Here is a 27857-nt window from a genome sequence, read left to right as displayed (position 1 = left end):
GGGCTTGAATCTCAGGCCTGCCACACATTGGTTTTGTGACCTTGGATAGGTAACTTAGCTTTTGAGCCTCAGTTTCCTTTTTTATTGTAACATATATACTTCACAAGGATGTGATGAGAATTTAATGAGGTAGAAAGTATAAAGCAGGGAAATAAAAAAAGCTCCATAGAATACCATACAAACCTTATTGGTATTTGAATGGTGTTGAACTTGGGTGGTTTACAATATGCTGAACTTCAGCAGAAGCGACAGATTTATTCATACCAGTTTTTCGTTTCTTGGTGATTAATTTTCCTCTGAGGAAAAATTACCACCCTTTGTTGTTGTTGTTGTTGTTTTTTTTGAGACAGAGCCTTGCTCTGTCGCCCAAGCTGGAGTGTGGTGGCACAATCTTGGCTCACTGCAATCTCCACCTCCTGCGTTCAAGCAGTTCTCCTGCCTCAGCCTCCTGAATAGCTGGGATTACAGCACCCACCACCACGCCTAGCTAATTTTTTTTTTTTTTTTTTTTTTTTTTTTGTATTTTTAGTAGAGGCAGGGTTTCGCTATGTTGCCCAGGCTGGTCTCAAACTCTTGACCTCAAGTGACCCACCTGCCTCGGCCTCCCAAAGTGCTAGCATTACAGGCGTGAGCCACTGCACCTAGCCTTACCACCCATTTTTTATATATGTTGTGTGTTCTAGTGCTTTGGTTCATTCCTAACTTGGAGGAAGATCTTAAGTAAGGTTAGAGTAAGGATATAGATGATGAACTTATTCAATGCAGGAGTTGCTCTCATCCTTTGAGACCATAAGAATTTTCTTAGTTGAGTCTTCAAGTAGCTATTGCTTCTTATTTATGTGCTTTCTTCTTACTTCATTTTGTGTACCTCTTTATATGTTAGGTGCTCCCACTCTTTCCCGGCTTTTAGAAGCTGGTCCTACACAGTTCACCACACCTCTTGCTTCCTTCACTACTGTTGCCAGTGAGCCTCCAGTTAAACTTGTGCCACCCCCTGTAGAGTCTGTGTCCCAAGCTACCATTGTCATGATGCCTGCGCTGCCAGCACCATCCTCTGCTCCGGCTGTCTCCACTACTGAAAGTGTAGCTCCAGGTGCGTCCCTGAGCAGCCACTAGATCTAAAATTTCATTTTGAGCTTTAGTTAGAGAAAAATGACCAAGAGCATCAGCTCCGATTCAGATGCTTCTTCTCTGTTCTACATAGACATGTGCCATCTTTATCCTTAGAAATAAATATCCTTAGAAATAGATGTGAGAAGAGGTGGGTGGGCATTTATGTATTGCAGGAAGAGGCTAAGTATACAGATATGAGCAGGCTTGAAAATATGTTCTCACCTTTCTAGATAAAACTGGGGAGAAGAAAACATAGGCACATGTTGATGACTCTTTCTGACCTTAAGTGTTTGGATATTTGACATCTGTCTGTAGCGCTTATGTGATCTCAAGGTGGTCGCTTTGTACCCAATAAGCTTCTGAGATGCTTTTCTCTTTCTGTTACTCAGTGAGTCAACCCGACAACTGTGTTCCCATGGAGGCTGTGGGGGATCCACATACTGTGACTGTTTCCATGGACAGCAGTGAAATATCCATGATCATCAATTCTATCAAAGAAGAGTGTTTTCGATCAGGGGTAGCAGAGGCTCCTGTTGGATCAAAGGCTCCCAGCATAGATGGGAAGGAAGAATTAGATCTGGCTGAGAAGATGGATATTGCTGTGTCTTACACAGGTGAAGAGCTGGATTTTGAGACTGTTGGAGACATCATTGCCATCATTGAGGACAAGGTAACTATTCAGCGAAGCCCCAGAGAATCTCATGGGTCCTACATAGGCTTCTCTTTTCAGCCTCACTTTGGTGCTGCTGCTGCTTTTTTTTTTTTTTTTTTGGAGACAGAGTCTTGCTCTTTCATCCAGGCTGAAGTGCAGTGGCACGATCTTGGCTTACTGTTACCTCTGCCTCCCAGCCTCAAGTAATTCTTGTGCCTCAGCCTCCTGAGTAGCTGGGACTACAGGCACATGCCACCACGCCTCACTAATTTTTTGTATTTTTAGTAGAGATGAGTTTTACCATGTTGGCCAGGCTGGTCTCAAACTCCTGGCCTCAAGTGATCCACCCACCTCGGCCTCCCAAAGTGCTGAGATTACAGGCATGAGCCACCATACTCGGCTGCTTTGCTTCTTACAGTAAGAATTACTTAAACAACTCTCCTACTTCTGCCCATCTCCATCTTTGTAGCCCTTTGGTGCTAACATACTAGTCATCTCCTCAGGTCTACCCATGTTACTGGTTTGCACAGGACAGGTGCCTCTTCATTGTTTGCCTCCACTACATGGAAAAAATGGAGCGAAAAGCTGCAGATTCAAGCCATCACATTTGGTGCTAACAAAAATTGAAGGACTTGGGCTTCTTTCTGTGACCTCAATAGTCTTGTGTTTTGTGGGACAGGTAGATGATCATCCTGAAGTGCTGGATGTGGCAGCAGTGGAAGCAGCACTGTCATTTTGTGAAGAAAATGATGATCCTCAGTCCCTGCCTGGCCCCTGGGAGCATCCTATCCAGCAGGAGCGGGACAAGCCAGTACCTCTCCCTGCACCAGAAATGACGGTCAAGCAAGAGAGACTGGACTTTGAGGAAACGGAAAACAAGGGAATACATGAACTGGTGGACATCAGGGAGCCCAGTGCAGAGATCAAGGTGGAACCTGCAGAACCAGAGCCAGTCATTTCAGGAGCCGAAATAGTAGCTGGAGTTGTTCCAGCCACAAGTATGGAGCCACCAGAACTCAGGAGTCAGGACTTAGATGAGGAACTGGGAAGTACTGCAGCTGGAGAGATTGTTGAAGCAGATGTTGCCATTGGGAAAGGCGATGAGACTCCACTTACAAATGTGAAGACAGAGGTACTTAAGAAAGATCGGGGCTGGGGAGATGGAGGTTTATACCTTAGATAAGAAGTGACAGCTTAGGCTTTTTGGTTTTCCAGTTGCATTCCTGAGTTCTGACATGTTTGATGTGTCCAAAGCCCATAGGCTGTGATTAGTGTTATATATACTTATTCCTGTTAAGGTGACCATTGGAGTCACATTACATGAGTAGGACTTAGAATTTCTTCTATGGTCTCATTATCACTGAAGAATAAAGTTGTGTGAGCTATAGCGATTTATCAGTACTTAGGGTGTTTTTTCTTTTCTGGTTTTCAGGCATCCCCTGAAAGCATGTTGTCTCCATCACATGGCTCAAATCCCATTGAAGATCCTTTAGAGGCAGAGACTCAGCACAAGTTTGAAATGTCAGGTAAATAAAGTCCTCTTTCACTGACTTGAAATCATTTGCTTTGGCTTCTGAGGGGTTGTGGGTTGTGGGCAAGTAGAGGAGGTAGAACAGGTCAGCATGTAAAGGAGAGCTGCAGGGGATTATGGTCCATAGGAAGGGGAAGGCTAAGGTGGAAAAATCTTCAGGTAGTCTTTCTCTCCTCTGCAGACTCATTGAAAGAAGAATCAGGGACTATTTTTGGAAGCCAGATAAAGGTATTTCAGACTTTTCTTTATTCCTCTTGCCATGTGATTAGATTTCCCTATAGCACTACTTTTTAATGAATTTCAGTAAAGTCACATCTTTATTCTCTGATAAGAGACTGGTATGGAGTTGCATGGGGAAAAGCTGCAGTAGACAGGCATAATGGGAGTACTATAGCAACAGGTGCCTCCCATATGAAACAGCATGTGAATATCACACAGTCCTTAAGAAGGCTTGATACACTTAGAGTGATTTGTAGTGAATAAGGATACCTGAGCCAAGGAGAACATACAGGAATCAAGTTTATTAATTAGACTATCCAAAGAGAATCATCCAGAGTTTTCTTTTTAGAATTATTAAAGCAGCAGTAACAGAGGCTTAAAGAATGTGATGTGAGCTTGCTCCATCAAATGAGACACAAAATAAAAATTATTTTTGATAACTTTGTACCCAGGGTCAGAGTTACTCTCGAGCAAGGGGAAAGAAGGAACGCCTCTTAGCTTAGTCTTAAGTAAGTAGCTTTTTTTTTTCTTTCTTTTTAAAAGATCCTGGGTATTATTCTTTGTCCAGGTTCTAAATTACTTAACGCAGTGTCTGTAAGTAGATGGTAGTATAAGTGATAGACAGCTGAGTCAGGAAACAGCGTGAGGTCATTTCTAGAACTAATTCTAACCCAAAAGACAGATCATGTTTAATGATGCTTTGCTGGATAGCTTTGCTTGCATTTGTTAACTGGAGCATACTGTATCTAAGGATGCCCCAGGTGAGGATGAGGAGGAAGATGGTGTCAGTGAAGCGGCCAGCCTAGAGGAGCCTAAGGAAGAGGATCAAGGAGAAGGCTACTTGTCAGAAATGGATAATGAACCTCCTGTGAGCGAGAGTGATGATGGCTTCAGCATACACAATGCTACACTGCAGTCACACACACTGGCAGACTCCATCCCCAGCAGCCCTGCTTCTTCACAGTTGTGAGTATCTGAGATTCTTTCTTTGAGGCCAAGGCAGTGAAGGTGAGGAGAGGATCTTTTCCTTCCTTCCTTCCTTCCTGTCTTTTCTCTTTTCTTTTCTTTTCCCTTTCCTTTCCTTTCCTTTCCTTCTCTTTTTTCTTGTTCTCACTCACCCATGCTGGAGGGCAGTGGTGCGATCTCAGCTCACTGCAACCTCCACTTCTCAGGCCCAAGCAATCCTTCCACCTCAGCCTCCTTAGTAGCTGGGACTACCAGCCTGTGCCACCACACCCTGCTAATTAAAAAAAATTTTTTTAGTAGAAACCAAGTTTTGCTACATTGCCCAGGCTGGTCTCAAACTCCTGAGCTCAAGCGTTCCACCTGCCTCGGCCTCCCAAAGTGCTGAGATTACAGGCGTGAGACACCATGCCTGGCCTTTTTCTTTATTTTTAAATTTTTATTTTAAAAAAATTTTTTTAAGGGACAGGATCTATGTGGTCCAGTCTGGTCTTGAACTCCTGACCTCAAGCAGTCTTCTTGCCTTGACCTCCCAAAGCAGTAGAATTAGAGGCATGAGCCACCATGCCTGGCCTGATCTTTTCTTTAGTGTTTCCCTTTTTTGACCTGGAATAAACAGCTGACAAGAAATAATTAGGGCTGGGCATAGTGGCTCACACCTGTAATCCCAGCACTTTGGGAGGCTAAGGCAGGAGGATCGCTGGAACCCAGGAGTTCGAGACCAGCCTGGGCAACACAGTGAGACCCTATCTCTACAAAAAAATTAAAAAATTAGCTGGGCATGGTGGTATGCACCTATAGTCCCAGCTACTTGGGAGGCTGAGGTGAGAGGATTGAGTCTGGGAGGTTGAGGGTGCAATGAACATGATCATGCCACTGCACTCCAGCCTGGGGGACAGAGTGAGACCCTGTCTCAAAAAGAAAAGAGAATTATAATTTTTATTTTTTAACTTGTGCCTAGTGGAATTGCTGTATCTCTGTTTCAGCTCTGTCTGTAGTGAGGATCAGGAAGCTATTCAGGCACAGAAAATTTGGAAGAAAGCCATCATGCTTGTATGGAGAGCTGCAGCTAATCATAGGTGAGTGGGCTTTACCAGTCAGTAGGTTCATTTTCTCCTACTCTTCATTGTTGGTGACTGGAAAAAAGTCTGAGTAGGCTTCTGTGGAACTGCTGGTATTAGTTCTTACTACCTTTAGTTACTTAGAGTAAGTTCCCTCCCTGCACTTCTGGAGAATGTCAGTAATTGCACCTTATTCCTTTTGGACAGGTATGCCAATGTCTTCCTGCAGCCTGTTACAGATGACATAGCACCTGGCTACCACAGCATTGTGCAGAGGTGAGCCATGGTCCACCCAGCATGGTAACTTGCCTGAATTATAAATTGTCCAGTCTTAGTGAAGTTTTGCTTTCGATAGAAAGTTTAAAGCAAGTAAGTTTATGGTTTTGCTATAAGGGGCACTGAGTGCTAAACTGATAATTCCAGTGGCTAGATCACCACTGATAGTCTAAAAGAATAAATCTCCACCAGGAGCGGTGGCTCACGCCTGTAATCTTTGGGGGTGCTGAGGTGGGTGAATCACTTGAGCCCAGGAATTCAAGACTAGCCTGGGCAACATGGCGAAACCCCCTCTCTACAGAAAATACAAGACTTAGCCAGGTGTGGTGTCGCGCATTTGTAGTCCCAACTACCTGGGAGGCTGAGGTGGGAAGGATTGCTTGAGCCTGGAAGTTCGAGGCTGCAGTGAACCAAGGATTGCTTGAGCCTGGAAGTTCGAGGCTGCAGTGAACCATGATTGTGCCACTGCACTACAGCCTGAGTGACAGATCCAGGCCCTGTCTCCAAAAAAAACCTAAATAAACTCCCTTTATTACCTTTCTCAATGCTTATTATATAGATTGTTTCTTGGGTTAAGTGCATGTTTTGGGATAAGGGGTTAGCATTTAAGTCCTGGCAGCTGGGAGTTAAGGTATATATGAGAAAGTCTATATGATAATGTATTCATAGATCTAGGTGCGTCCTCTTTCCATCCCCACTGCTACTTACCCCTGTTCTTTTTTTTTAGGCCTATGGATTTGTCAACTATTAAGAAAAACATAGAAAATGGACTGATCCGAAGCACAGCTGAATTTCAGCGTGACATTATGCTGATGTTTCAGAATGCTGTAATGTACAATAGCTCAGACCATGATGTCTATCACATGGCAGTGGAGATGCAGCGAGATGTCTTGGAACAGATCCAGGTACTTTGAGGATCCTTTGTGTTTCAGCAAGGATGAAATTAAAATACTTCAAGGGGAGGATTCATATTGATGCCAAGAAGGGTTGCTGTGGCTTTTACGTGGATAGCTGTCAGGGACACAATTGAAAACATAATATTTTGTTCTTACTTTTATTTTCTTTGGTGTGGTGAAAGAGTTGTGATACAATATTCTACCTTTCTTGGGCAATTATTTGCAGTTTCATAAAGTTTTTAAATAAAATTTTTTAAAAATGGTGAATGTATATTTTTTAATTACATTAAGTACCTGGTACATAGTAGGTGATCAGCAAATAAGAGTTTCTCCTTTCCTTTTCCCTGCTTTTATCCTATGATTGTGTTACCAGGTACTTTTTGGGGTGTTGAACTTGGAAGAATATTGCAAATCTTTGCACGATTTGTCAAATTACTTAAATTGCTGAATGATCTTTGGTTCATTCTAGTTTTATTATTTTTCTCATTCCTGGAGGATAGAGATTTTGATCCTATGTTATAGCAAAAAAAAGTTAGGGCTGCTTGATTCTTTAGCATCCCTATTGCAACTAGAATTAAAACTTAATATGCTAAACTTCCAATCAGTCAAAATATATTTGAGCCAGAAGAGTACTATACAAAGTTCTATTTACAGTGCTTAAAGTGTACTTAATTTGTCCCTACTAAATCAGGTCTCCATGGCCTACCCTGTTTCTTCTCCCTACAGCAATTCTTGGCCACGCAGTTGATTATGCAAACATCCGAGTCTGGGATCAGTGCTAAAAGTCTTCGAGGGAGAGATTCTACCCGCAAACAGGATGCTTCAGAGAAGGTGAGGCGATCAGGAAGGAACCTGTGTGCCAGTGTTCCAGTAGTAGAAGTCTGAAGCATCCAAGGACCCTTATGTTACTACTTGGTATTGGGCTTCTAGATTCCAATGATATACAGACACATAGATCTTAGAATGATGGTGGTTTGCACCCATCTAAACGTTGAATAAGCCTATTGTAACCGAAAGGCCCAGTCACATGGGAGAAATCATGAGTAGGGGAATTATTAATTCCTCTGGGAGAGTGCTCTCAAGGCGGGGGAAATGGCTTAGCCTGCAGCAGTTGGGGACCATCAGTTTCTGTGCTAGAGGCGTAATGGACAGATTGCTTTTGGATCTCTTTCCTCTTGTTCTTGAGTTTTAAAATTTTGTCCTTGTGTGTGTGGTGCTTGTGTCTCTGTCCTGAGGTTTGGGGTGCTTGTGGCTGAGAGTTTCTGTGGAACCTGATCAGTGTTTGTTTGTCCTCTAACAGGACAGTGTCCCAATGGGCTCTCCTGCCTTCCTTCTCTCTCTCTTTGTAAGTATTGAATGGCTGCAAGGGGTGGTGTTGCCACAAAGATTCTCAGCTCTTAATGGGGGTGGGTGGCAGAGGGAAATCCAACATGCAGACTGTGGCAGTGTCTTGAACTTCTGTTTATTCAGGTCATTGAATAAGAAACTCTTTTCTTCTGCATTCCTGTCTTTCTGCATGTGTGTGTGTGTGTGGGCTGGGTAGGGACTGTTTTTGAGATCACTGGGCTGAAATGTATTCTAGGGGTGAAGGATCTAGGATGTACCTGCTCGTCATTTCCTGACTTCACCTTTTACCAATTCTTTTCTTAACAAATTTAAAATTGGTCAGAGCAGGAGCTGCTAGCTGGCTTTTTAACAGTGTTTCTCATAATGGCAGTACTCAGCAAATAGTTTTTCTCTTGTCTCCTAAAATTAAGTTGCAAGACTAATGTAACAAACAGTAAAATTTAAGCTAAAGAACTCAGTATAGGCTGGGTGTGGTGGTTTACGTCTATAATTCCAACACTTTGGGAGGCTGAGGTGGAAGGATTGCTTGAGCCCAGGAGTTTGAGACCAGCCTGGGCAACGTAGGGAGACCCTGTCTCTACAAAATTTAAAAACGGCAACAACAACAAAAAACCCTACTAGCTGTGCAGCGGAGTGGTGCGCACCTGTGGTCCCTAACTACAAGCTACTCAGAAGGCAAGGTAGGAGCATCACTGGGGCCCAGGAGGTCAAGGCTGCACTGTTCATACCATTGCACTCCAGCCTGGGTGACAGAGCGAGACCTTGTCTCAAAAGAAAAAAAAAAACAATCTCAGTAATAATGACCACTGTGGCTGGGTGTGGTGGCTCACACCTGTAGTCCCAGCACTTTGGGAGGCTGAGGTGGGCAGATCACCTGAGGTCGGGAGTTCGAGACCAGCCTGACCAACATGTAAAAACCCCGTCTCTACTAAAAAAAAAAAAAAAAATTAGCCGGGTGTGGTGGCATACGCCTGTAATCCCAGCTACTCGGGAGGCTAAGGCAGGAGAATCGCTTGAACCCAGGAGGCGGAGGTTGCCGTGAGCTGAGATTGCACCATTGCACTCCAGCCTGGGCAACAAGAGTGAAACTCTGTCTCAAACAAAAAAAAGAAAAAAAAAAGTGACCACTGCATCAATAGTGGCTGCTGGAATTACAGATAAGCTTAGGAGAGCTAGCCTAAAGACTTTTATTACTTTCCTCCATAAATTAACTGGCTCTGACTCTGTGTTGTTCATTATGGGACAGTGAGGTATGATGTAATGGAAGGGCATCAGGCTAGAAAACTACATGGTCTTAAGGTCATTGGATAATCTCTTGGGGCATTGTTTTCCTTGGTGTGTGATAAAGCTAATATAATGAGGTACTTGTCCAGCCTACCTCACAGGGATGTTGTGAGGATAAAATGAGATAATAGATATGAAACTGGCTTGGAAAAAAAAGAAAAGCATTATACACATGCAAGGTTACCACCTTTTTATTTTCACTGTTGCCTCATGGGCAACTTATGTTCATGGACTCTAAAAATTTTAGAGTCCTTGCATATTAGAAATGTAAAAATGGCCTGGCCCAGCAAAGGTTTCAGTAATTCATCTTGCCTACAGGCTGTACCACAGACAGAACATTATAATCTCCGTTCTTTCTTATTGGCCTACAACAGTGACTCTGGATCCCCCAAGCAAAGCATTTGGCTGGCTATTGCAAGGCTGGTTAATAGGATCTTTTATCTATTGAAGACAGCAAAATATTGCACAAGAGGAAGGAGCTGGGCTGCAGGGAGAGAGCAGCAGATGGAAAGAAGCCTTCTAATTGTCCTGATCTCATGGAAAACCACTGTCAGGAGGTGCTAGGGAACTAGTGCCAGGGTCAGTCTGCAGGAAAGGCCTTTCTTATAGGGACCAACAGTTGGACAGGTATGTTAGTCAAGAACCTCACTACCCATTGCCCATTCTGACTCTCCTACCTTTCTTTTACTCTCCTGCTCCTTTGCACATGATTTGGGCCTGGGTGGGATGACTAATAGTTATTCTGTGGGACCCTAGGTGAATTCCAAGGACCTCTGTAGTGGGCATGAGCAAGATATTCCATCCTACATTTCCTCTCACAAACTACCAGGTGTTCTTTAGCCACTCTGTGGGAAGACAGAAATATGCCCCTCATCCCTCTGGATTTTTCTGCTGATTCTCTTCCCTCTCCCCCAAGAAACCAAATCCCCAACTTTTCTGTTGCACCGTCTCTTGTCTCCTGACCAACTCATGCTCCCTTTCTTTCTCTGCCTGTCATCTAGGATGGAGGAACCAGGGGACGCCGCTGTGCCATTGAAGCAGATATGAAGATGAAAAAGTGAAGCCTCAGAGTTACCCTCTTTGAGCCGAACCTAAAATAAAAGTAAACAAGATAGAGCTTGGGCTTGCGGGCCCAGTTCCAGAGGTGGAAGTTACAGAAGAGGAGGTACCTGGGCCACACGACATGAGCTGGAAAATCTCTCTTAGAGAGTTGGAGTAGCACAATTGCCTGTTTTAGGGCAGAAACCATGGGCTATGTTAATGTCCTAATGTGTAGCTAGCAGATCGTAGCTAGTTTGTATTGTCTTGTCAATTGTACAGACTTTTTAAAAAAAACAACCACCAGTGAAATGTGTGTGTATACAATAAACTGAAAAAAAAAACTAGCCTTTGGCTTGTTCTGTGTGTGTGTGTGTGTGTGTGTGTGTGTGTGTGTGTGTGTGTATTTGAAACTTGTTTCTTCTGCATAACTATTTCATTTGTAGGAATGAGATTGTTACAGGGGAAAAGTCTTATGAACTGCTTGCTGTAGTGTGAGAAGGTAAGCAACCAGAATTGAGTTTATAGTTAATATACCTTAAGGTGTTGCATTGCGCAGGAAAGACTTCCTTACTCAGATTTTCTTGAATGTTTGGGAAAAGTAAGGTTTTTAGAATTCTGTTCATGGCATTGCTTAAAGAAGATTAGAGCATGGACATAGGTAGCATTGACCCTTACCTCAGGAACATTTGTCTCACTTAATGCTATCTTTGCAGATGGTATTTCTAGGATAGTGTGTTACCATTTTTTTCCTGTTTTTATGGTTAAAGACTCTGTATAAAGAGTTCTTGGCGGCCGGGCGTGGTGGCTCATGCCTGTAATCCCAGCACTTTGGGAAGCCAAGGCTGGCAGATCACGAGGTCAGGAGTTCGAGACCAGCCTGGCCAATATGGTGAAACTCTGTCTCTACAAAAAATACAAAAATTAGCTGGGCGTGGTGGCGCATGTCTGTAGTCCCAGCTATTTGAGAGGCTGAGGCAGAAGAAGCACTTGAACCCGGGAGGCGGAGGTTGCAGTGAGCTGAGATCGCGTCACTGCACTCCAGCCTGGGCAACAGAGCAAGATTCCATCTCAAAAAAAAAAAAATAGCCCAACACTTTGGGAGGCTGAGGTGGGAGGGTTGCTTGAGCCTAGGAGTTTGAGACCAGCCTGGACAACAAAGTGAGACCCTTTCTCAAAAAAAAAAAAATTAGCCCAGCATGGTGGTGTGCACCTGTAGTCCCAGCTACTCGGGAAGCTGTGGCTGGAGGATCTCTTGAGCCACGGAATTCAAAGTTGGCAATGACCTATAATTGCATCACTGCACTCCAGCCTGGGTGAAAGAGCAAGACCCTTTCTCAAATAAATATAGTTCTTAACATTGCTGTTTGAAGGCTAAGCCCAGTTTTAAGAATTACTGAATTTGGCCAGACACGGTGGCTCACACTTGTAATCCCAGCACTTTGCGAGGCCAAGACAGGAAGATCACTTGAGCCCAGGAGATCAAGACCAGTCTAGGCAACATAGCAAGACCTTGTCTCTACAAATAATAAATTAGCCAGGTGTGGTGGCACGCACCTGTGGTCCCAGCTACATTGGAGGCTGAGGTGGGAGGATCACAACCCTGGCCGGTTGAGGCTGCAGTGAGCTGAGATCATGCCACTGCACTCCAGCCTGGGCAACAGAGAAAAAACACCCCTAAATTTAAAATCTCAGTTCAATTCCAACTTCTGTTAATAACTTTTTTTTTTTTAAGTGATGAGTGACTGCTCCTGGCCAACTAAACTTTTTTTTTTTTTTTAAATTCGGAGTTTCACTCTCGTTGCCCAGGCTGGAGTGCAATGGCGCAATCTCGGCTCACTGCAACCTCCGCCTCCCAGGTGCAAGCGATTCTCCTGCCTTAGCCTCCCGAGTAGCTGGGATCACAGGCATGCACCACCAAGCCCGGCTAATTTTGTGGTTTCTTTAGTAGAGGTGGGGTTTCTCCATGTTGGTCAGGCTGGTCTCAAACTCCTGACCTCAGGTGATCCACCCGCTTCGGCCTCCCAAAGTGCTAGGATTACAGACATAAGCCACCACGCCCTGCCAACATTTTTAAAACTCAATAGTGAAATGAAATAGTGCCGGGCACCGTGGCTCACACCTGTAATCCCAGCACTTTGGGAGGCCAAGGTGGGCGGATCACTTGAGGTCAGTAGTTCAAGACCATCCTGGCCAACATGGTGAAACCTCATCTCTACTAAAAATACAAAAAATTGGCCAGGCATGGTGGTGGGCGCCTGTAATCCCAGTTACGCGGGAGGCTGAGGCAGGAGAAGTGCTTGAGCCTGGGAGGCAGAGGTTGCAGTGATCCGAGATCAAGCCACTGCACTCCAACCTGGCGACAGAGCAAGACTCCATCTCAAAAAAAAAAAAAAAAAAGTTATGAACTTTTTATTATAAACATGGCTATGATGAAAAAATATTAGATGAATATCACTTTATAACTAAATATTTAGACAATATGTCACACTGGAGCCTGGTCTAATAGTCAAAGTCTTCTTGAGAAGGGTTTAAGAGGATACGATTAGAAGTCACAGATCTTTTTGCCTTTAATAGAACTATATTAGGATGCTAAGGAAGAGAAGATACAGTCTTTGTGAGGCAATGGAAAGGTATTCAATTAGTCCAGGAGTTAGAACATGAAATTCCTTGTTACATGGACATGTTGCAAACAAGAAAGGAAAATAAAAAATAACATTGTAGTCCCAAAGCAGTCTGCAAACAGGCATGAGATACAAACACAAGCTCTAAAAGCTGGGAGAAGTGTGTGGAAAAGGTCCATTAAAGGACATACGTTTTGAGTTGGTAGAGAAGGTGATAAATGAGACTAGCAAACCGAATGGAAGGTGTAGGCATCTGGTGGGGGTGGTGGGTGGCAATACGGAGAAAAATGTAATTAGAACAGGGATTATACTAAGGAATAAGGAGGTGTACATGTGAGTGAAGGGAACAAAATAAGGCTAAATTTGTGGAGGACTTTGGCAGATTGAGAAATTTATATTTGAGGTGATAGCTGTTATAAAGCCTTGAGTAGAATAACTATATTTGTTGAGAGCAGATAGGATTAAAGATAGAAAAGCTGACTAGGAGACTATGGCATTTATTCAGGAAAGGATGGACACTGAGAAAACTTATTGTGGGAGAAAACTGGGAAGAGGACTTGCTTACTGAATATAAGAGAAGGAAGGGTCAAAACAGAATTGTGGGTTCTGTAGACTAAGAAAATGGTGATGGGGTCGGGTGTGGTGGCTCACGCCTGTAATCCCAGCACTTTGGGAGGCAAAGGTGGGTGGATCCCCTGAGGTCAGAAGTTCAAGACCAGCCTAGTCAACATGGTGAAACCCCGTCTCTATAAATATACAAAAATTAGCCGGGCATGGTGGTGGGCACCTGTAATCTCAGCTACTCAGGAGGCTGAGGCAGGAGAATTGCTTGAACCCAGGAAGCAGAGGTTGCAGTGAGCCGAGATTGGGCCATTGTGCTCCAGCCTGGGCAACAAGAGTGAAAGTTCGTTCAAAAAAAAAAAAAAAAAAAAAGAAAAGAAAAGAAAATGGTGATGGGGATAAGGAAATTGGGAAGAAGCAGTGATTTTGGAGATAAAGGAAATGTGATTTTTATTTTAGAAATGTTACAGCAGGTGGTAGAGCATCTAAAGGGAATTGACTTTTGGATGCATGGAGAAATGACACCAGAATTCATATAAGAAGTAAAGGTAGAGAGATTTGGGAGCCACCTGAATAGAGGTCAAAGTTGAAACCTCAAAGTATATATACATTTTTTTAAAATACATTAATAAGAAAGCAGAGGACCAAGCATGAACATAGAAGGTAGGGATTTATTGAAAGTTGTAAAAGGGAGAGGACAAAGAAAGATATAAAAAAACCAAGATAGTGGTGTAATGAGAGCAAGGGAAGATATATTTTAAGCTTAATGTTTCTCAACATCAATTTGGATATGACCAGAAGGATGCCAAAGGCAATCCTAAAGTGTGTTTTGAAGGTTTAATGGTTCATAGGTTAAAAATGTTTATACACTGAGGAAAATATCCCCTGCCCCCTCAATTTGTTTGCCTTACGGTTTAGTTATGGATGATTTGGGCTAGAGGAAAATAATTGAGCTAGCTATGCTCCAGTTCTTTCCCTTCTTTTGGTGTGAATATGAGGAATTCCAAGTAAAAATAATTATTAGGTAATATTAATGTCTCTATTATACTGTATTGTATGGTGCAATATCTCTGTTATACTGACATGGGGCTTTCTTTATTCCCAAAGACAAATATAATTTCATCTCATGTCTCCCTTCAGCAAGATTTTAATTCTTCCTAATGATGAATACTTGAATACAAATAAATTTCTGGCCCCTTATTTTTCTACTGAACTCGGGAGATGGAGATGCCTCAGGAATATTTATTTGAATGAATTTAATGCATGTTTTCCTGTGTATTTACAGATGGGACACGAGTGGGTTTGGCTGGATTCTGAACAAGATCATCCCAATGACTCTGAGTTGAGCAATGACTGCAGGTCCCTCTTCAGCTCATGGGACTCCAGTCTGGATCTTGATGTGGGCAACTGGAGGGAAACTGAGGATCCAGAGGCTGAGGAACTAGAGGAAAGCAGCCCGGAGAGAGAACCTAGTGAACTGCTTGTTGGGGATGGAGGCAGTGAGGAATCTCAGGAAGCGGCAAGGAAAGCCAGCCACCAGAACCTCCTCCACTTTCTCTCTGAGGTAACAGTGAGCTCTTATTTCCAAAGCTGGAAAAGCCTCAACTTTCTAAGAGAATGCTTATCCTTACATGCTTCTACCACTCTTAATATTGTTTACTAAAATATAAGCTCCACAGTGGCAGGGATTAAGTTCATTGCTATGTCCTCAGCACTTGGTGCTGATACAGAATATGCACCAAATACATGCTTTTTGGGCCGGGTGCAGTGGCTCACGCCTGTAATCCCAGCACTTTGGGAGGCTGAGGCCAGTGGATCACTTGAGGTTGGGAGTTCGAGACCAGCCTGGCCAACATGGTGAAACCCCATCTCTACTAAAAATACAAAAATGGCCGGGCGCAGTGGCTCATGCCTGTAATCCCAGCACTTTAGGAGGCCGAGGCGGGCGGATCACTTGAGGTCAGGAGTTCAAGACCAGCCTGGCCAACATGGTGAAACCCCATCTCTACTAAAAATACAAAAAATTAGCCGGGCGTGGTGGCGGGCGCCTGTAATCCCAGCTGCTCGGGAGGCTGAGGCAGGAGAATCACTTGAACCTGAGAGGCGGAGGTTGCAGTGAGCTGAGATCACACCATTGCACTCCAGCCTGGGCGACAGAGCGAAACTCTGTCTCTAAATAAATAAATTAATTAAAATTAAAATTAAAATTAAAAAATTAGCCGGGCTTGGTGGCATGTGCCTGTAATCCCAGCTACCTGGGAGGCTGAGGCAGGAGAATCGCTTGAACCCGGGAGGCGGAAGTTGCAGTGAGCTGAGATCGTGCCATTGGACTCCAGCCTAGGTAACAGAGCGAGACTCCGTCTCAAAAGTAAAAAAATTAAAAATAAAAAAATACATGCTTTTTGACTGAATTTCTAATACTTCAGTCATTAGGGGCCTGGGTCATAAGGACTGCTTTATGAGTATCCTTGTAATTCATGCTTTTGGAGTTGTGGGAAGTTATACTTGCCCAAATTTTCCTTGAAGCTTAAAATGCTGTAACTTTAAGGTAGTATTTTTAAGTGTCATTACCTTGGTTAAGGGCTGAGGACCAGAAATAAACAGAATTGGACAGAGAGTTATATGTATGCTGTTATTGAACACATTTAGAAGACCCTAGATCAAGATCAGCAAGCATCCATTTCAAATGTTGCCACTTCTCTCTACAAGTGTCTGTGGTAGACAAAATTTTCAACACTTTATTCTAGACAGCCACTCCCAATTGATCAGAGTTGACAGCTGAGATGAAAAAGTAGAACATAAACTCCTGGAAGAGGCAAGAACCATATCTTTCTTGTTCACTGTAGTGTCCCCACCAACCAGCCCAGTGCCTGTGTATATAAGATATTTTGGCAGATTTTAGATGATTGTATTAATTAAACCATTTTGTCCTCTCAGACTTAGTCACTGTGACAGTGTTAGCATGTGGCATTGTTGATATGTGGATGATGATTTTCAGTGGTGTTCCTGTGCATCTAATAATAAACTTTGATTGCAGGTAGCTTATTTAATGGAGCCCTTGTGCATCAGCAGCAACGAATCAAGTGAAGGCTGCTGCCCTCCATCTGGTACCAGACAAGAAGGAAGGGAAATTAAAGCTAGCGAAGGAGAAAGGGAGCTCTGCAGAGAGACTGAAGAGCTTTCAGCTAAAGGAGACCCCTTAGTAGCTGAAAAGCCACTGGGAGAAAATGGAAAGCCAGAGGTGGCTTCAGCTCCCTCAGTTATTTGTACAGTTCAGGGACTACTCACAGAGAGTGAAGAGGTAAGAAAGTAACTTAAATCAGCTGTCTTGTTGGTCTTCTGCCTAGGGAAGCAGAACAGAGTAGTTAGAGCACATAGGCTAACTCCAGAAAGTTAAACTACCTGGATCCAAATCCTGGATTTAGCACCAGTTTTAGCTGTGTTACCTTTAGCATGTTAGTGAACATTTTAGAACTTCAGTTTTCTCTGCAGAAATGCAATAATAGCACCCTATTTTGTGGGATTGCTGTGAGGTTTAAATGAGATAATTCATGTAAAGCACTTAGCACAGTGCCTGGCTTATAGTAAGCAATCAGTAAAATTTAGAATACCGTCATCATTATTAATATTATCTGGCAGGTGGGGTGCAATGGCTCATGCCTGTAATCCCAGTGCTTTGGGAGGCAGAGGCAGTAGGATCTCTTGAGCTCAGGAGTTCAAGACCAGTCTGGGCAATACAGGGAGACACCATCTCTACAAAAAACAAAAAACAAATTAGCCAGGTATGGTGGCATGTTCCTGTAGTTCCAGCTACTTAGGGGTCTCGGGGGAGCCCAGGAGTGCAAGGCTGCAGTGAGCCATGATGATGCTACTGCACTCCAGCCTGGGCAACAGAGTGAGACCCTGTCTCAAAAAAAAAAAAAAAATTATCTGGCCAGCTAGAGTAGTTAACTCCAGGGCCACAGGTGATCATGATGGTTTTTAAAGAATCCAATGAGAATTGGGCAAATAATGCTTTTCCATTTTGCTGGAGGTGAGTGGCACAGAGTCAAAGTCCTCCAGCAAGATTGTTACCAAGAACTCATTAACTTAAATCTAGTTAAGTCAGCTTTCTTTAATTTCTTTTGTAGCTTTATGTAATTGACCTCTTCTCACCTTAAGGGCAGCCTTCATTTACTCTATGCAAGTAAAATTACTATGCAGAAAGTAAATCTCCTTCTAAAGTTTCCTGTTTCCTGGCATTCCTAGGGGGAGGCTCAGCAAGAATCCAAAGGGGAGGACCAGGGTGAAGTATATGTGTCAGAGATGGAAGACCAGCCCCCTTCAGGCGAGTGTGATGATGCCTTTAACATTAAGGAGACTCCCTTGGTGGATACACTTTTCAGCCATGCTACCTCCTCAAAGCTGTAAGCGTAGACTTTCATCCAAGTTTGTTAAGATTCGTACTTCTGTTTATGCCTATTTGAATCATGAAATGGATTACTTTTATAAGTTAAAGAAAATTAGAGTTGGAAAACACAAAAAATATAATTAATTAAGTATAATTTTAACATCATATAAATAGAAGTCTATATGCTCTCCTGTTATAAAACAAATATGTTTAATCAATATTAGGACTGTCTTTCAAGGCTAGGTGTGGTGGCTCACACCTGTAATTCCAGCACTTTGGGAGGCCAAGGCAGGAGGATCCCTTGATCCCAGGACTTTGAGACCAGCCTGGGCAACATAGGGAGACCATGCCTCTACAAAATAAAAATTAAAAAAAAATTAGCCAGGTATGGTGTCACTTGTCTATAGTCTCAGGTACTCCGGAAGCTGAGGTGGGAGGATCACCTGAGCCCAGGAGGTCAAGCTGCAGTGAGCCATGATTGTGCCACTGTACTCTAGCCAAGTCTGTATCACTCCAGCCTGGGTGATGGAGCTAATATTATACAAACTATGCCTAATATACAAACTATGGTGCTTTTTTTTTCTTTAATAGAGACAGGGTCTAGCTCCATCACCCAGGCTGGAGTGCAATGGGCACGATCATGACTCACTGCAGCTTGACTTCCTGAACTCAAGGGATCCTCCCACCTCAGGCTTCCAAGTAGCTGGGAATACAGCCATGGGCCACCACACCCAGCTGATTTTTTATTTTTTGTAGACAGGGCTGGCCTTGCTATATTGCCCAGGCTTGTCTTGAACTCCTGGTTTCAAGTGATCCTCCTACCTCAGCCTCCTAAAGTGTTGGGATTACAGGCTTGAGCCACTGTGCCTGGCCCAAACTATACCTCTTTTAAAAATATTAAAATAGATTTTATGAACTTGAAATGGAAAATTATTTTGATGGAGACAAGGAAGAGGATAAAAAAATTTTTTTTTAAAGAAAAAATTAGGCCAGGCGCAGTGGCTCACACCTGTAATCTCAGCACTTTGGGAGGCAGAGGCAGGAGGATTGCTTGAGCTCAGGATTTTGAGACTAGCCTGGGCAATATAGTGAAACCTCATCTTTACAAAAAATAAACAAAATTTATTGGGTGTGGGGGCATGCACCTGTAGTCCTAGCTACACAGGAGGCCAAGGCAGGAGGACTGCTTGAACTTGGGAGGTGAAGGTTACAGTGAGCTATGATCATGTCACTACACAGCCTGGGTGACAGAGCAAGACCCTGTCTCAGAAAACAAAACAAGAAATAAAAGAGAAGAAAAAAATTATTTTGAAGTTTGTGATCTTTGTTTCTTTTTCACATCTCTTAGGGGATTGTTTATGTCAAGCTTGTCTAATCCCTAGCCTGCAGCCCAGGACAGCTTTGAATGTGGCCAAACACAAATTCTTAAAACATTATGAGATTTATGCACTGACCCTTTTTTTTTCCCTTTTTTTTTTCTTTTTTTTTTTTTTTTTCCAGCTCATCAGCTATTGTTAGTGTATTTTATGTGTGGTCCAAGACAATTCTTCTTCTTCCTCCAGTGTGGCCCAGGGAAGCCAAAAGATTGGACACCCCTGGTTTATGCAATTGTCTCATCTTTGTATAGATAATTATAGGACTAAATAACACATTTTCAAATCTTAATGGGGGCTGTTTTTTTTTAACAGGAAACCAAAAAAATATTAATTTTTTTTTTTGAGATAGGATCTCACTCTGTTGCCCAAGTTAGAGTGCAATGGCATGATCTTGGCTCACTTCAGCCTCCGCCTCCTGGGCTCAGGTGATCCTCTCACCTCAGCCTCATGAATAGCTGGGAACACAGATGTGCACCACCACAACCAGCTGATTTTTTTGTATTTTTGTTAGAGACAGGGTTTCATCACATTGACCAGACTGGTCTCAAACTCCTGGACTCAAGCGATCCCCTGCCTTGGCCTCCCAAAGTCCTGGGATTATAGGCATGAACTACTGCATCTGGCATGAAGTGAATTACTTTTTAAAGCAGAAAAACAAAGTTGTTTTTATCTGTGACTCCTGGCCTCAAGTGATTCTCCTGCCTCAGCCTTTCAAAGTGCTGAGATTATAGGCATGAGCCACTACGTCCAGCAAAGTTATTTTTGTTATGGTAATAAATAAATTGTTCTTTTTCCAGCCTGTGTCAGATCCATCTGTTGAGAGAATATAGTATGAACTGTTTTTTTTTTCTTCAGTATATCCCAGATCCACCCAGTTGTCTGTGGAAAGGTAAAACTAATAATTATTCTAGTGTTTTTTTGTTTAAGATATACAGCTGAACCATGCATATATTTATATATGAATATATATATATATATATTTTTTGAAGAGCAGATTTCTTTTTTTTCTCATAGAGACAGGGTCTTGCTTTGTTGCCCAAGCTGGGTCTTGAACTCCTGGCTTCAAGCAATCCCACCTCAGCCTCCCAAAGTACTGGGATTATAAGCCTGAGCCACTGTGCCCAGCCTAGATTTCAATTTTTGGTACACAAATAGGATACAGTTTAAAATGTAGATTGGTGAGGAATGCCTTCATTTGCTTTTCTTTAACTCCTTAAGTATGAGCAATAGAGTGCAGAGATGACATACTGTGACTGTACAAACAGCAGGAAATCTGCAATCTGAGACTTTTTTTTTTTTTTTTTTTTTTTGAGACGGAGTTTCGCTCGGTCGCCCAGGCTGCAGTGCAGTGGCGTGATCTCGGCTCACTGCAAGCTCTGCCTCCTAGGTTCACACCATTCTCCTGCCTCAGCCTCCCAAGTAGCTGGGACTACAGGCACCCGCCACCACGCCCAGCTAATTTTTTGTGTATTTTTAGTAGAAACGGGGTTTCACCGTGTTAGCCAGGATGGTCTCAATCTCCTGACCTTGTGATCCGCCTGCCTCGGCCTCCCAAAGTGCTGGGATTACAGGCGTGAGCCACCACACCGGGCCCAATCTGAGACATCTTATCTCATGACAGTTCATAGTCTTGGATGGTAAATTCCACATTCTTACCTTACAATTTAGATTAAATATGAAATCTTTATTAGAAAGCAGTAGATATCCAGCCTGGGCAACGTAGTGGGACCTTGTCTCTACAACAAATACAGAAATTAGCTGCAGGGCGTGGTGGCATGTGCCTGGAGTCCCAGCTACTTGGGAGGCTGAGGCAGGAGGATCGCTTGAGCCCAGCAGGTTGAGGCTGCAGTAAGCCACGATCACACTACTGCACTCCAGCCTGGGCAACAGAGCAAGACCCTGTCTCAAAAAAAAAAAAAATTGGCTGGGCATGGTGGTTCATGCCTGTAATCCCAGCACTTTGGGAGGCTGAGGCGGGTGGATCACTTAAGGCCAGGAGTTTGAGACCAGCCTGGCCAACATGGCAAAACCCCGTCTCTATGGAAAATACAAAAATTAGTTGGGTGTGGTGGTATGCAACTTTAGTCCCAGCTACTTGGGAGGCTGAGGCAGGAGAATCGCTGGAACCCGGGAGGCAGAGGTTGCAGTGAGCTGAGATCATGCCACTGCACTCCAGCCTGGGCAACAGAGCAAGACTCTGTCTCAGAAAAATAAAATTAAAAAATTAAAAGAGAAAACAATAGATATTAATAACTAAGTCTGCTTGGCCAGATAAGGGGAGATAAAAAGCTTCAGATATTAATTAGGAGCATGTCTTAAGAAAACCTCATTACCCACCTGGGGGAGATAGAATATTATTTGTGAAGTTACTGTCTCTTTTCTTCATGTTTTATCCTCATAGGACTGATCTAAGCCAGGATGACCCTGTTCAGGATCATTTGCTATTTAAGAAGACTCTCCTGCCAGTCTGGAAGATGATTGCCAGTCACAGGTAGGTCTCCAAAGTGGTAATAGGATTATGTTCAGAGCTGAAGCAGTAATACATATTGGGGTTTAAGCATAAAAGGAGATATGTTCATCCCTCAAATGAGCCATAGTTGAAAGGTAGATTCTGTATCTAAGCCCGATTTATCCCAAAGTACCCACAGCTGCTTTCACAAGTCTGTACAAGAAATAGTTGCTGTGCCATTTGAGTTGCCTCTAGAAATTGGTTCCTACTACATGATAAAATTTATATTTAAAATGTATATTCTTCTTTTCAATCTGGTGGATTCTCTTTTTTCACAGAGACAGGGCCTTGGGAACTTTGAACAAATTTCTGAGCCCTAAATCAGTATATTGTAATAATAGTGAAATATTTTATAGTTTTGTGTTTTTTTTAACTCTCTGGCAAGAGGGAACAAATAGATTTTTTCCTAATGGTGCTGACAGTCTGCATTCCCCTAAAGGAAGTCTACTAAGAACTGAGCTACTCTTCTCCTTCAGAGTGCCTTGCCAGGGTTTCTTTATCCTCTCTGGGTTTGTCCCTTAACAGGTTCAGCAGTCCATTTCTGAAGCCTGTGTCAGAAAGGCAGGCCCCAGGGTACAAGGATGTGGTGAAAAGGTCAGTGAAAAAGGGGTCAAGAAAGGTTGGTTGCTTTTATATCTGCCTTTTCATTTTTTATTTCCCATCTGTTAGATTATTTTTATAACTTACAAACTCAAGATATGTTTCATAGCCAAACAAGTTTATAAAGTTATGATGAGCTCAGTATCATATCTTCATTTAAGAAGGAATGCAGGGAACAAAAGGATGATATAGGCTTTTTATTTTGTACTATTGACTTTTAAGTAATATGATCCATTCTATATATATATATATTTTTTTTTTTTTTTTTTTTTGACAGGGTCTCACTCTGTTGCCCAGGCTGGAGTGCAGTGGTACAGTCTTGGCTCACTGCAACATCCTCTTCCCAGGCTCAGCTATTCTCCAGCCTCAGCCTCCCAAGTAGCTAAGACTACAAGCATGAGCCATCACGTCCGGCTAATATTTGTATTTTTTGTAGAAACGGAGCTTTGCCATGTTGCCCAGGCTGGTCTTGAACTCCTGAGCTCAAGCAATCCACCTGCCTAGGCCTTCCAAAGGCTGGGATTATAGGTGTGAGCCTTGGTGTCCAGCCTGATCATTAATTATAATCTTAAATTAGCCTTTGGTTGTTTTTGACACTATTCTTTTGGAGCAAAACTTTAAAAGGAACCCTGTATTTATTCAGTTAGTTATAGGTATAGTAAGGCACAGATGTCGATCCAAATGGAAGTTATGAACATTGGTTGATTGTAGTATTGTGTCCGGAATTGGTTCCTTCCGGTGGGTTCTTGGTCTCGCTGACTTCAGGAATGAAGCTGCAGACTCTCGTGGTGTTACAGTTCTTAAAGATGGTGTGTCCAGAGTTTGTTCCTTCGGATGTTCAGATGTGTCCGGAGTTTCTTCCTCCCGGTGGGTTTGTGGTCTCGCTGAGTTCAGGAGTGAAGCTGCAGACCTTCACAGCGAGTGTTACAGCTCTTAAAGGTGGCGCCTCTGGAGTTGTTCGTTCCTCCCAGTGGGTTGGTGGTCTCGCTGGCTTCAGGAGTGAAGCTGCAGACCTTGGCGGTGAGTGTTACAGCTCTTAAAGGTGGTACATCCGGAGTTGTTTATTCCTCTTGTTGGGTTCGTGGTCTTGCTGGCTTCAGGAGCGAAGCGGCTGACCTTCACGGTGAGTGTTACAGTTCATAAAGGTAGTGCGGACCCAAAGAGTGAGGAGCAGCAAGATTTATTGCGGAGTGAAAGAACAAAGCCTCCACAGTGTGGAAGGGGACTCCAGCGGGTTGCCACTGCTGCCTTGAGGGGCCAGCTTTTATTCCCTTATTTGGCCTCCTCCACATCCTGCTGATTTGTCCATTTTACATAGTACTGATTGGTCCATTTTACAGAGTGCTGATTGGTCCATTTTTATAGAGTGCTGATTGGTGCGTTTACAAACCTTTTTTGGTGCGTTTTTACAGAGTGCTGATTGGTGCATTTACAAAGCTTTAGCTAGACACAGAGCGCTGATTGGTGCATTTACAAATGTTTAGCTAGACACAGAGCGCTGATTGGTGCGTTTTTACAGAGTGCTGATTGGTGTGTTTACAAACCTTTAGCTAGATACAGAGCACTGATTGGTGTGTTTACAATCCTTTAGCTAGACAGAAAAGTTCTCCAAGTCCCACCCAACCCAGAAGCCCAGCCAGCTTCACCTCTCAGTATTTTGGGATTTTATTTTTATTTTTTATTTAAAAAAATTTTTTTGAGACAGGGTCTCACTCTGTTGCTGGAGTGCAGTGGTGCAATCATGGTTCACTGCAGCCTTGACCTCCTGGGCTCAAGCAATCTTCCCACTTCAGCCTCCGGAGTAGCTGGGACTACAGGCATGTGCCACTGCACTTAGCTAATTTTTAAATTTATTATTTTTTAAATTTTTACTTACTATTATTTTTTGAGACAGGTCTCACTCTGTTGCTCAGGCTGGAGTGCAGTGGCACATTTCTTGGATAACTGAGCCTCAACTGCCCAGGTTCAAGCAATCCTTCCACCTCAGCCTCCCTAATAACTGGGTCTAGAGGTGTGTGCCACCATGCCCGGCTAATTTTTGTATTTTTTATAGAGATAGAGTTTCACCATGGTGCCCAGGCTTGTCTCAGACTCCTGGGCTCATGCAGTTCACCCACCTCAGCCTCCCAAAGTGCTGGGATTACAGGTGTGAGCCACTGTGCCTGGCCTGATATTTTTATTATAATAAAATATTTTCTTTGTTTGAAATGTTATTAATAACTTTATTTTTCTTCAGAATATCACTGAGGAGGAATTTTTAAATTTTTTGTAGATATGGGGTCTCACTAGATTGCCCAGGTTGGTCTTAAGCTCGTAGTCTCAAGCAATCCTCCCACCTCAGCCTTCCAAAATGCTGGGATTACAGGCAGGTAATCCTAGCCTATTTTGGATTTTTTTTTTTTTTTTTTTTTGAGACAGTCTTGCTCTGTCACCAGGCTGGAGTGCAGTGATGAGATCTCGGCTCACTGCAACCTCCGCCTCCCGGGTTCAAGTGATTCTCCTGCCTCAGCCTCCTGAGTAGCTGGAACCACAGGCACACGTCACCACGCCCAGCTAATTTTTGTATTTTTAGTAGAGACAGGGTTTCACTATGTTGGCCAGGATGGTCTCAATCTCTTGACCTCGTGATCCGCCTGCCTCGGCCTCCCAAAGTGCTGGGATTACAGGCTTGAACCACTGTGCTCGGCCTATTTTGGGTTTTTATAGCATAGGTCATCTAAAATGCTGTCATAAACCTGTATGGTAATAGAATGTAAAAGATCATGATAGGACCTTTGGAGAGTCACTAGTCTGTGCTGCTATAGCACAATACCACAGGCTGGATAATTTATAAATAATAGAAATCTATGTTTCTTTGTTTTGGTTCTGGAGGCTGGGAAGTGCAAGATCAAGGCATTGGTAGTTTTGGTGTGTGAGGTGGGTTACTCTCTGCTTCTGCTTCTAAGATGATGCCTTGTTGTTGTATTCTGCAGAGGGGACGAATGCTGTATCCTCACATGGCAGAAGGGACAGAAGGATAAGAGGGCACTCTCTTCGATATGGAGCCCTTTTATAAGGATGCTAATCCCATTCATGAAGGCAGAGCACTCATGAATTAATTACCTCCCAAAGGCTCCACCTCTTAATACTGTTGCACTTGGGATTAAGTTTCAACATGAATTTTGGAGGGGATACCATCATTCAAACAGCAGAGACAATGATACCATCATTCAAACAGCAGAGACAAACTTCTTTAGGAATGAGGAAACTAAAGCTCAGAGGTGCTTGGTCATGACTTGCTCGTGATCAACCAACAGTTAATAGCAGAGCTAGAACTAAGCCCCAGATTCTTACCTGCAGTTCAGTCTTCTTTCTACACTGCTGTGCCTTCTCTTATATATCTACTTTCTGTGTCTCATTAATATTGTCTTAATATTCACTTGATCCTTTTTTCATCTCCATGAAAGGAGAAAAAAATTATTCTTAGCTTTTTATTTGTGCAGTAAGAGAAGTAGATGAAATAATATATGACTATACATTGTAAACAGCAAATAACTACTGTGTGATAAACTGATGATTGGTGCTCTTTACAACTTTGATACCTGGGGCCAGCACTCCTCCTCTGATAGTAGAATATAGTGGCTTGACCTGTGGGCTCTGGAGTCAGGCTGCCTCTGAATTGGAATTCAGGCTGTGTGCCTTTCAGTGAGTACTTAACCTCTTTAGATTTCAATTTCTTCATCTGTGAAATGGAGATAATAAGGCCGGGGGCGGTGGCTCACACTTGTAATCCCAGTACTTTGGGAGGCCAAGGAAGGTGGATCCCCTGAGGCTAGGAGTTCGAGACTAGCCTGACCAACATGGTGAAACCCTATCTCTACTAAAAATACAAAAATTAGCTGGGCATGATGGCGCACGCCTGTAATCCCAGCTATTCTGGAGGCTGAGACAGGGGAATTGCTTGAACCTGGAAGGTGGAAGTTGCAGTGAGCTGAGATTGCTCCATTGCACTCCGGCCTGGGCAACAAGAGTGAAACTCCGACTCAAAAAAAAAAAAAATGAGATATTAATGATACCTACCTTACAGGTTTATTGAGAGGATTAAGTGAGTTAGTATAGAAATACAGTGTTTGGCCCATTGTAAACAGGCAAATATTAACTGCTGTTGCTATTTTATTATCTGATGAGGGTTGTTATCTTTGCTACTGTTTTCATTAAGAACTGGTTAGTTCTTCAAGAGAACGTGTTAGGTTATCATATGTTCCACATGAAGGTTTGATTTTCTTTGTTTTTTCTTGGCCACCTGCAGACCCATGGACTTAACTAGCCTGAAGAGAAATCTCTCTAAGGGTCGGATTCGCACCATGGCCCAATTCCTGCGAGACCTGATGCTGATGTTCCAAAATGCTGTAATGTACAATGACTCTGATCATCATGTATACCATATGGCTGTGGAGATGCGGCAAGAAGTCCTGGAGCAGATTCAGGTACTGTATGCAGATACCTGTAGCCTCTGGAATCTTGATTTCAGAACGCCTATGAGAATAAAGGTGATTTCGAGGTGACTGTGTTCTCAGAGTTTATTTTTAAAGGTGATTAAGGCCCTGAAGGATTGATAATGTGCCTGCTGGTTTGGAAAACCCTGAGCCTCAGTAAGTCCAGCTCTGATAGTGAAGTAGTCTAGGAATGCAGGCAGCAGTGAAGAGCTCTCAAGAGAGCTGAGGATAGACAAGTAATGGGAATTCCCGCTTCCAGAGCCTCAAGTCAAGGGCTAAACTCCAAAGAGGCTGGAGTCACTGTGTATTTTTTGGTTGCTTCATCTGTTGTTATTAATGTACGTTCACACTTTCCCATCTTTAGGGGATAAGATATAGTAGCTAGAAGACATTTGTGGGTTTCTTTTCTGGGTAGCATCATACTTTAAAGAAAAAAGTATAGTTGAGTCTATTTGCCAAAAAAATAAACTTGCAATACTTTAGTGTTTAAGGTTCATAATAGCTTGCTATGTGTTCCTTAACCCTTTAGGTACTGAATATCTGGTTAGACAAAAGAAAAGGCTCAAGTAGTCTGGAAGGAGAACCAGCTAACCCAGTGGATGATGGAAAACCTGTTTTCTAACCTGGAGCTGCTATCCTGACTTTTTCTAGAGTTTGAATCTCTCCCGGAACTCTGACCTAGAGAGGATCCTGGTACTTCTTTGCCATGTCCTCATTTTCTTTTCCAACAAGAATAATACCTTAACTCACAACCAACGAGTCAAAGATGCATGTGGACATAATATAAAGAAAAAAAGGGGAAGCTGAGGTTTGGATTTATGCCATAAATGTTGCCCACATCTTTGTTCCATCGGCTTGATTTAAAGACAATTCCATTAGATCTTTTCTAAGCCTTTTACTCTATAAATAAATGTATTTACACAATAGGAATATTGCTTTTTA

General features: G+C 43.0%; 1 protein-coding gene across 6 annotated transcripts in view; it reads left to right on the top strand.

Annotated features, from left to right (window-relative positions):
* Positions 1-27841, top strand: part of BRD8 (bromodomain containing 8) — a 38861-nt gene extending 11020 nt beyond the window's left edge. For 3 of the 6 annotated variants that reach the window (NM_001300962.3, NM_006696.5, NM_001300961.3), the window contains 12 exons: positions 884-1093; positions 1503-1783; positions 2445-2897; positions 3198-3291; positions 3478-3524; positions 4267-4481; positions 5465-5557; positions 5747-5815; positions 6543-6720; positions 7438-7542; positions 8012-8056; positions 10344-10686. In NM_001300962.3, coding sequence (NP_001287891.1) covers positions 884-1093; positions 1503-1783; positions 2445-2897; positions 3198-3291; positions 3478-3524; positions 4267-4481; positions 5465-5557; positions 5747-5815; positions 6543-6720; positions 7438-7542; positions 8012-8056; positions 10344-10403 — 1850 coding nt within the window. In that variant the 3' untranslated portion in view covers positions 10404-10686. Of the gene's footprint in view, positions 1-883; positions 1094-1502; positions 1784-2444; positions 2898-3197; positions 3292-3477; positions 3525-4266; positions 4482-5464; positions 5558-5746; positions 5816-6542; positions 6721-7437; positions 7543-8011; positions 8057-10343; positions 10687-14850; positions 15130-16602; positions 16867-17813; positions 17972-21732; positions 21823-22365; positions 22435-26728; positions 26907-27444 lie in introns of those variants that run through there. The other 3 variants (NM_139199.2, NM_001300966.3, NM_001164326.2) reach the window with 3 other exon arrangements.
* Positions 27842-27857: the final 16 nt, after the last annotated feature.

Source organism: Homo sapiens, chromosome 5 (genome assembly GCF_000001405.40).
Source record: "Homo sapiens chromosome 5, GRCh38.p14 Primary Assembly".
NCBI lineage: Eukaryota > Metazoa > Chordata > Mammalia > Primates > Hominidae > Homo > Homo sapiens.
Note: the sequence above shows the minus strand (reverse complement) of the source record. Positions and strands in the feature narration are given on the sequence as shown.